At 40.6% G+C, this 7,564-nt stretch overlaps 1 annotated feature.

Annotated features, from left to right (window-relative positions):
• Nucleotides 7,364-7,564: a silencer, noted in NCBI's record as "peak3345 fragment used in MPRA reporter construct". NCBI's record gives its function as "represses an SCP1 promoter by STARR-seq MPRAs in K562 erythroleukemia cells {active_cell/tissue: K562}" and the evidence as "EXISTENCE:reporter gene assay evidence [ECO:0000049][PMID:32103011]".

Consider the following 7,564-nt stretch of genomic DNA (forward strand, 5'->3'; position numbering starts at 1 on the left):
CCGGTTGGCTACCAAGTCAGAACTTTTTAAAAGAAGCAAAGGCAGAGGAGAACAAAGGAAGGAGGAAATAACTTGTGGAATGCTGAGAAAGCTAAAAACACCTTCAAATAAGGAAGAGGAACAGGCTATGACCTAATGCTTGCTTGGACCAGTATAAGCATGCCAGGGCAAATATTTAGGCTAAATTGTGAGAGCTAAGAACATAAAGTACATTGATTTCTTTATTACACCTCACAGATACTTAAGAATGTTAGCACAGGTCTTTGAATGCATTTCGCTCCTAAGAAGAGTTACTATTTATTTCTAATTAGATGGAGAGTAAAGTCTCTTTGAAGAGGAACCTCTACTTTTCAGGGTCGAACACAGAAATTCTAGTTTCCTCCTGGGTGGGTGCAGACAGGGCCTGGGTTGGCTCAGAGAGTGGGATGCAGAAACAGGTTCAGAGAAAAGGTGAGGTTACAACCACGCCTCTGGATGGAACTGTGGGTAGAGGGTTGGGGCCCGTACTTGGAGGTGGCTTAGAGGTTGGACCCGGCCTAGCCCCTGCTACAGGTGGACAGATGGGCTGGAAAGGCTGGGATAGGGGATGGGACACACCCCAGGGAATGCTCCTCCAAAGCTTTTCCCCAGTGGGCGCAGTTTCGTTCTTGTTGCCCAGGCCGGCACCTGGCTCGACCCCGTCTCTATTAAAATATATATATACATATATATACACACATATATATACATATATGTGTATATATACGTATATACGCATATATACACATACGTGTATATATACGTATATACGCATATATACACATACGTGTATATATACGTATATACGTATATATACACATACGTGTATATATACGTATATACGTATATATACACATATATACGTGTATATATACACGTATATACGTGTACGTATATATACACGTATATACGTGTATATATACGTATATATACACGTATATACGTGTATATATACACGTATATATGTATATATACACATATATATACGTGTATATATATGTGTATATATATATAGCCGGGCGTGGTGGCTCATGCCTGTAAAAAATAAAATAAAATATATATATGTGTGTGTGTATCTACATAAAACTTTTTTGTTTGCCTCTCCTCATGTTCCTAGAGCCTTTCCATGATTCTTCCACATTGACAAAGATGCCAGTGAATGGCATGGTCTATCTCTTCCATTCAGTCAGGCTTTCTGTAGGCCTTTGTTTCTTCATTCTTTATTTCTTAGAACCTGCTGATTCCATTGCATTTTCCTTTTTTTTTTTTTTTGAGACAGAGTCTCACTCTGTCACTTAGAGAAGAGAGACAGACCCTCTCATATTGTTTTATATTGTTTTATACTCAGAAAAAGAAAGAAAAGCAAAACTAAAGGCAGGTAGCCCAGCACCTAGGAACCAGATCTGAAACCAGGCCTGGGCCTGCCTGACCTAAGCCTGGTAATTAAAGATCCACCCCTGACCTAACCGGTTATGTTATCTATAGATTCCACACATTGTATGGAAAGGCATTGTAAAACTTCCCGGTCTGTTCTGTTTCACTCTGACCACAGGTGCATACAACCCCTATCACATACCTGCTCCTTGCTCAATCAATCATGACCCTCTCACGTGGACCCCCTTAGAGTTGTGAGCCCTTAAAAGACACAGGAATTGCTCACTCAGGGAGCTTGACTCTTGAGACAGGAGTCCTGCCAATGCTCCCGGTTGAATAAACCTCTTCCTTCTTTAACTCGGTGTCTGAGGAGTTTTGTCTGCGCCTTGTCCTGCTACATTTCTTGGTTCCCTGACTGGGAAGTGAGGTGATTGGTGGATGGTTGAGGCAGCTCCTTAGGTGGCTTAAGCCTGCCCTGTGGAACATCCCTGAGGGGGACCACGACCAGCCCGAGCAATGCAGATCCTGAGAGTACTCCCAGGTAGGCATTTGCCCTGGTGGGACACCTTGCCAGAGCAGTGTGTGGCAGGCCCCCATGGAGGATCAATGCAGTGGCTGAGCACCTGGAAGGAACGGGCACCTAGAGTCTTGACATCTAAAACTTGGTAAGACTAGTCTTTGGAACTTGCCACTCCGTTTTAGTGGAAGTGTGGCCTGATCACCCACGGTGTGCCTTTATCAGCACTTTGGTTTTGGTTTTGGTTTTGGTTTTGACTTGGTTTGAATTGCTTGACAGGACCAGTCTTGGGAACATGCCCACTCCATTTGAGTGGAAGCATGGCCTGATCACCCATAGCGTGCCTTTATTGGCACTTTAGTTTTGGTTTTGACTTGGTTTGAATTGCTTGACAGGACTGGTCTTGGGAACTTGCCTACTCCATTTGAGTAGAAGCGTGGCCTGATCACCCACGGTGTGCCTGTACTGGCACTTTGGTTTTTGTTTTTGACTTGGATTGCTTGATACTTTGGTTTTGGTTTTGACCTGGCTTGGATTTCTGGATAGTCTGATTTTGGTTTTGATTTTGGTTTAGTGTAAACTACAAAGGTGTGTGTGTGTGCCCTTTTAACCCGTTCTTTGTTTTGTGGTGTGCATGTGGTGTGAGCGTGGTGTTTTGTCTCGAGGAAACAGGGGTGAGGCAAAAGTAAGCCCACCTCACTAGGAACTATGTTGAAAAATTAAAAAAAAAAAAAAGGAGATTTAAAGGAGACTATGGAGTACTATGACACCAGGAAAACTTAAAACTTTGTGTAAGATAGACCGGCCAGCATTAGAAGTAGGTTGACCATTAGAAGGAAGCCTGGACAGGTCCCTTGTTTCAAAGGTATGGCACAAGGTAACCTGTAAGCCAGGACACACAGACCAGCTCCCGTACATAGACACTTGGTTACAGCTGGTTTTAGAGTCCCTTCCCCCAACACAGAATGGTTGAGAGAAAAGCAGCATAGGTGGCTATCAGAGGCAAGGAAAGACTAGCAGAGAGAGAGAAAGGAAAGATACAGAGAGGAAAAGAGGCAAAGACAGAGAGAAAGAGACAGAGAGGAAGAGACAGACAAAGAGGGAGTCAAGGAGAGAGAGAGAGAGAAAGAAAGAGAGAGGCAGAGAGAGAGAGGAAGAGACAGAGGCAAAAGGAAAGTCAGAGAGAGACAAAATCAAAGACAGAAAAAAAGAGAGAAAGAGATAGACAAGTAGTTAAGAAAAAAAAAGCCGTCTATACAAATTCTAAGTTAATTTGGACAAAACAAGGTCTTATTAATAGCAAAGGATAATTAAAATCCCAAACTTACAAGGTTTTCAACAAAAGTAAAGTTTGCTAAAAGTTAACAGCGTAACATGTATTATAGTAACTTCTATTCTTGTGGCCTTAGACAGTCTAGTCCACAGACATAAAAAAAAAGGTTCACTTTGGAAGAGAATGGTTATCATCTTCAAAAAAAAGAGTTATAAAAAAAGTGTGTTAAAAAAGAATTTATGCAAGAAATGTTGTATAATTTAAAAGTAATTAGTCCTCCTAAATGTAAAACTATTGAAGAGACAGTTTATGTGCAAGGTGTATAAGGAAAGTAAAGTATATCTTTGGTAAAAGGATTATAAGGAGGCATAAGAATGTGGATTTTTACCTACATTAAAAGGTTAAAAATATGTATATTTTGTTTTAAAGGTTTAAGCAAGTTTTGAAACGTTAATTGGGTGTAAATTCTGTGGGTAAATATATTAGCTAAAATTAAAGGGGTATCATCCAGTTTCTCTGTATACTGGATATTAAAATAAAAGCATAACAGGTTTTTCTTAAAGCACCAACCTGCTCTTTAGCAAAAATTTTAAAAGGTTAAAAAGAGTCTATAAAATCTTACCTTATGGTCAAACATTAAAAATTAGATAAATATGTCTACAAGTTTTTATTAAAATTAAGTTTAACATTAATAACACACTAATATAAAGATAAAATTTAGCTTATCTGGTATAAAAATAATAAAAGAAGCATTATTAAATATAAAATGGTGTTTAGCTTCCTTTGGTCTAAAAACCAATAAAAATAGGTGCTAAAGGAAATTTCTCAGTAAAAAGGCACTAAGGACTATAAAGTCCACTGCCAAGGTCCCCACATTTAAAACAAAAGGTCAATTTCTTAGAAATTATATACTTGATTTATCTTCCACTTCCCTTTCCCTCAAAACTAAAAGTCTTTTAGCACATGTACCACCCCTAGAATTTCCGGTCAACCAGCACCAGGCTGAAGATCATGTTCTCATTGAAAGGTGGAAAGAAGAAAACCTCGAGCCAGCCTGTGAAGGACCCTTCCTTGTGCTGCTAACCACCAAGACTGCTGTTTGTACACCAAAAAGGATGGACTCATCACACCCGAGTCAAGAAAGCGCCACCCTCTCCAGAGTCATGGGCCATAATCCCAGAAGAAAACCCTACCAAACTAAAGCTAAGAAAAATTTAACTGTTTTTCATCTATTCTATTACTCTTTCTTCTTTCCGCACTCTATTGATGACCATCTAGTTATTAACATAACCAAGTCAATTTCACCTCAAACTATTGCATTTAATACTTGCCTTGTTATACCCTGTGGGGACTTGCCAAGTCAAAGACAGCTCTCTACTTCTGAAAAGTACTTCTGTCCCTCCTGACTCTCCTCAGACTGGGCATTAGTAAACTAGGACCATTTAATTTGGGGAGATTTCGATAAAGACCCCAGTGACAACCAAGAGTCTTGCCCCCACAATGTAGAGCTTTCATGCCATAGTTGGTCCAACGTTCTGTGGACCACTAAAGAGCAAGGATGACTGCCCCAACCGGTTTTTGTAATTTCCTAAAACCATACAATCATTTTACTAGAGGATCATAGAAGTTAAAGACTTAAAACAAACTTTAGCAATTAAGACAGGATACCAAGATGTAAATGCCTGGTTAAAATGGATCAAATATTCCATCTGCATGTTAAACAAAAGCAATTGTTATGCTTGTGCACATGGCAGGCCAGAGGCCCAGATTGTCCCTCTTTCACTAAGGTGGTCCTCCAGTCAACCAGGCCCAGGCTGCATGGTAGCTGTTTTCCAGGATTCTACAGCCTGGAGTAATAAGTCATGCCAAGCTCTCTCTGCTATATTCCGAAGTCTGGTACCCTGTGGGTTAGCCCCCAGGAGATATCCAGCTTCCGTCTCCCAACACTAAGGTCACTTCCTGTCTCTCACGACAGGGAGGAAACTTAGCATTCCTTAGAGACCTGAAGGGATGCGATGAGCTTAAGAATTTTCAAGAGATTATCAATCAATCAGCCCTTGTTCATCCCTGAGCGGATGTGTGGTGGTATTGTGGTGGACCTATACTGGGCACTCTGCCAAATAACTAGAGCGGCACTTGTGCTTTAGTCCATTTGGCTATCCCTTTCAACCTGGCATTTCATCAACTAGAGGGAGAAAAATAAGACATCCTAAATTAAGAGAAGCCCCTTATGGGTCTTTCAACTATCACATCTATTTAGATGCAATTGGAGGCCTGCAAGGAATACCAGATCAATTTAAAGCTTGAAATCAAATATCTAGAGGATTTAAGTCAATATTTTAGTTGGTGACAGTTAATAAAAATTTAGATTAAATAAACTACATCTATTACAACCAACAGCAACGAGCTTTTCATGAGTTAAAAGAAAAACTCAGGTCGGCCCCAGCCCTGGGGCTACCTGACCTGACAAAAGTTTTTACACAGTATGAGTCAAAAAAAAAAAAAAAAAAAAAAAAAAAGGCAGTTGGAGTTTTAACCCAGACTGTGGGGCCCTGGCCAAGGCCAGTGGCCTATCTCTCAAAACAACTAGACAGGGTTTCCAAAGCCTGGCCCCCATGTCTAAAGGCCCTGGCAGCAATGGCCCTGTTAGCACAAGAAGCAGATAAGCTAACTCTTAGGCAAAACCTAAACATAAAATCCCCCCATGCTGTGGTGACTTTAACGAATACCAAAGGACATCATTAGCTAACGAATGCTAGTCTAACTAGATACCAAAGCTTGCTCTGTGAAAATCCCCGCATAACCATTGAAGTTTACAACACCCTAAACCCTGCCACCTTGCTCTTGGTATCAGAGAGCCCAGTTGAACATAACTGTGTAGAGGTATTGGACTCAGTTTATTCTAGTGGGCCCAACCTCCAAGACCATCCTTAAACATCAGTAGACTGGGAGCTGTACGTGGACTGGAGTAGCTTCACCAACCCTTTCAAAGTGACTCTGAAGAAGACGACAAGAGTTGCTCCAGTCACACCCGGAAGCTGACTGGTCCACGCACAGCTGAAGCATGAGAAAACTCATCATGGGACTCATTTTCCTTAAATTTTGGACTTGTACAGTAAAGATTTCAACTGACCTTCCTCAGACTGAGGGCTGTTCCCAGTGTATACATCAAGTCACTAAAGTAGGACAAAAGGTTGCTACGTTCCTATTATTTTACGGTTATTATAAGTGTACTGAAACTCTAAAAAAGAACTTATTTGTATAATGTTATTCTATACAAAGTATGTAGCCCAGGAAATGACCAACCTGATGTGTGTTATGACCCATCTGAGCCTCCCATGACCACAGTTTTTAAAATAAGAGTAAGAACTGAGGACTGGTGGGTGCTCATAAACGATACGAGTAAAATGTTAGCCACAAAAAAAAAAGAGGTGCCTGAACGAGTCACCTTGAAATTCGACGCCTGTGCTGTCATTAATAGTAATAAGTTAAAAATAGGATGTGGTTCTCTTAATTAAGAAAGAGGCTATATGACAGAAAATAAGTATGTTTATCATAAATTAAGACTGTGTAAAAATAAATGTAGATACTGGTCTTGTGTCATTTAGGCTACTTGGATAAAAAATGAAAAAATGCAGTCCACCTTCACCAAGGGAAAAGTGGCCATTCCTGTACCAGTGGTCCGTATAACCCCTTAGAACTAGTAATAACAAACCCCTTTAATCCTCGCTAGAAAAAAGGGGAATGTGTAACCCTAGAAATTGATGGAGCTGGACTGGATCTTCAAGTAAATATCGTGGTTTGAGGAAAAGTTTATAAACCCTCTCCTGAGCCAGTATTTCAAACCTTCTATGATGAACTGAATGTGCCAGTACCAGAAATTCCAGGAAAAACAAGAAATTTGTTTTTGCAATTAGCCGAGCATATAGCCCAGTCTCTCAATGTCCCTTCATGTTATGTATTAGCACAAGTGTACTGTATGAATCATTATCAATCTATTGCACAGGAAGACATAAGTAGCAAAAATAAGAGTGAGAATTCCCACTAATAAAAAGTGAGAGTCTCAAAGCCGGGAAATGAGAGAAGACAGACCCTCTCATATTGTTTTATGTTGTTTTATACTCAGAAAAAGAAAGAAAAGCAAAACTAAAGGCAGGTAGCCTGGTGCCTAGGAACCAGACCCTAAACCAGGCCTAAGCCTGGTAGTTAAAGATCGACCCTTGACCTAACCAGTTATGTTATCTATGGATTCCAGACATTGTATGGAAAGGCATTGTAAAACTTCCCGGTCGGTTCTGTTTCACTCTGAGCACCGGTGCATGCAGCCCCTGTCACGTACCCCCTGCTTGCTCAATCGACCACGACCTTCTCACATGGACCCG

This window comes from Homo sapiens, chromosome 19 (genome assembly GCF_000001405.40).
Source record: "Homo sapiens chromosome 19, GRCh38.p14 Primary Assembly".
Taxonomy (NCBI): domain Eukaryota; kingdom Metazoa; phylum Chordata; class Mammalia; order Primates; family Hominidae; genus Homo; species Homo sapiens.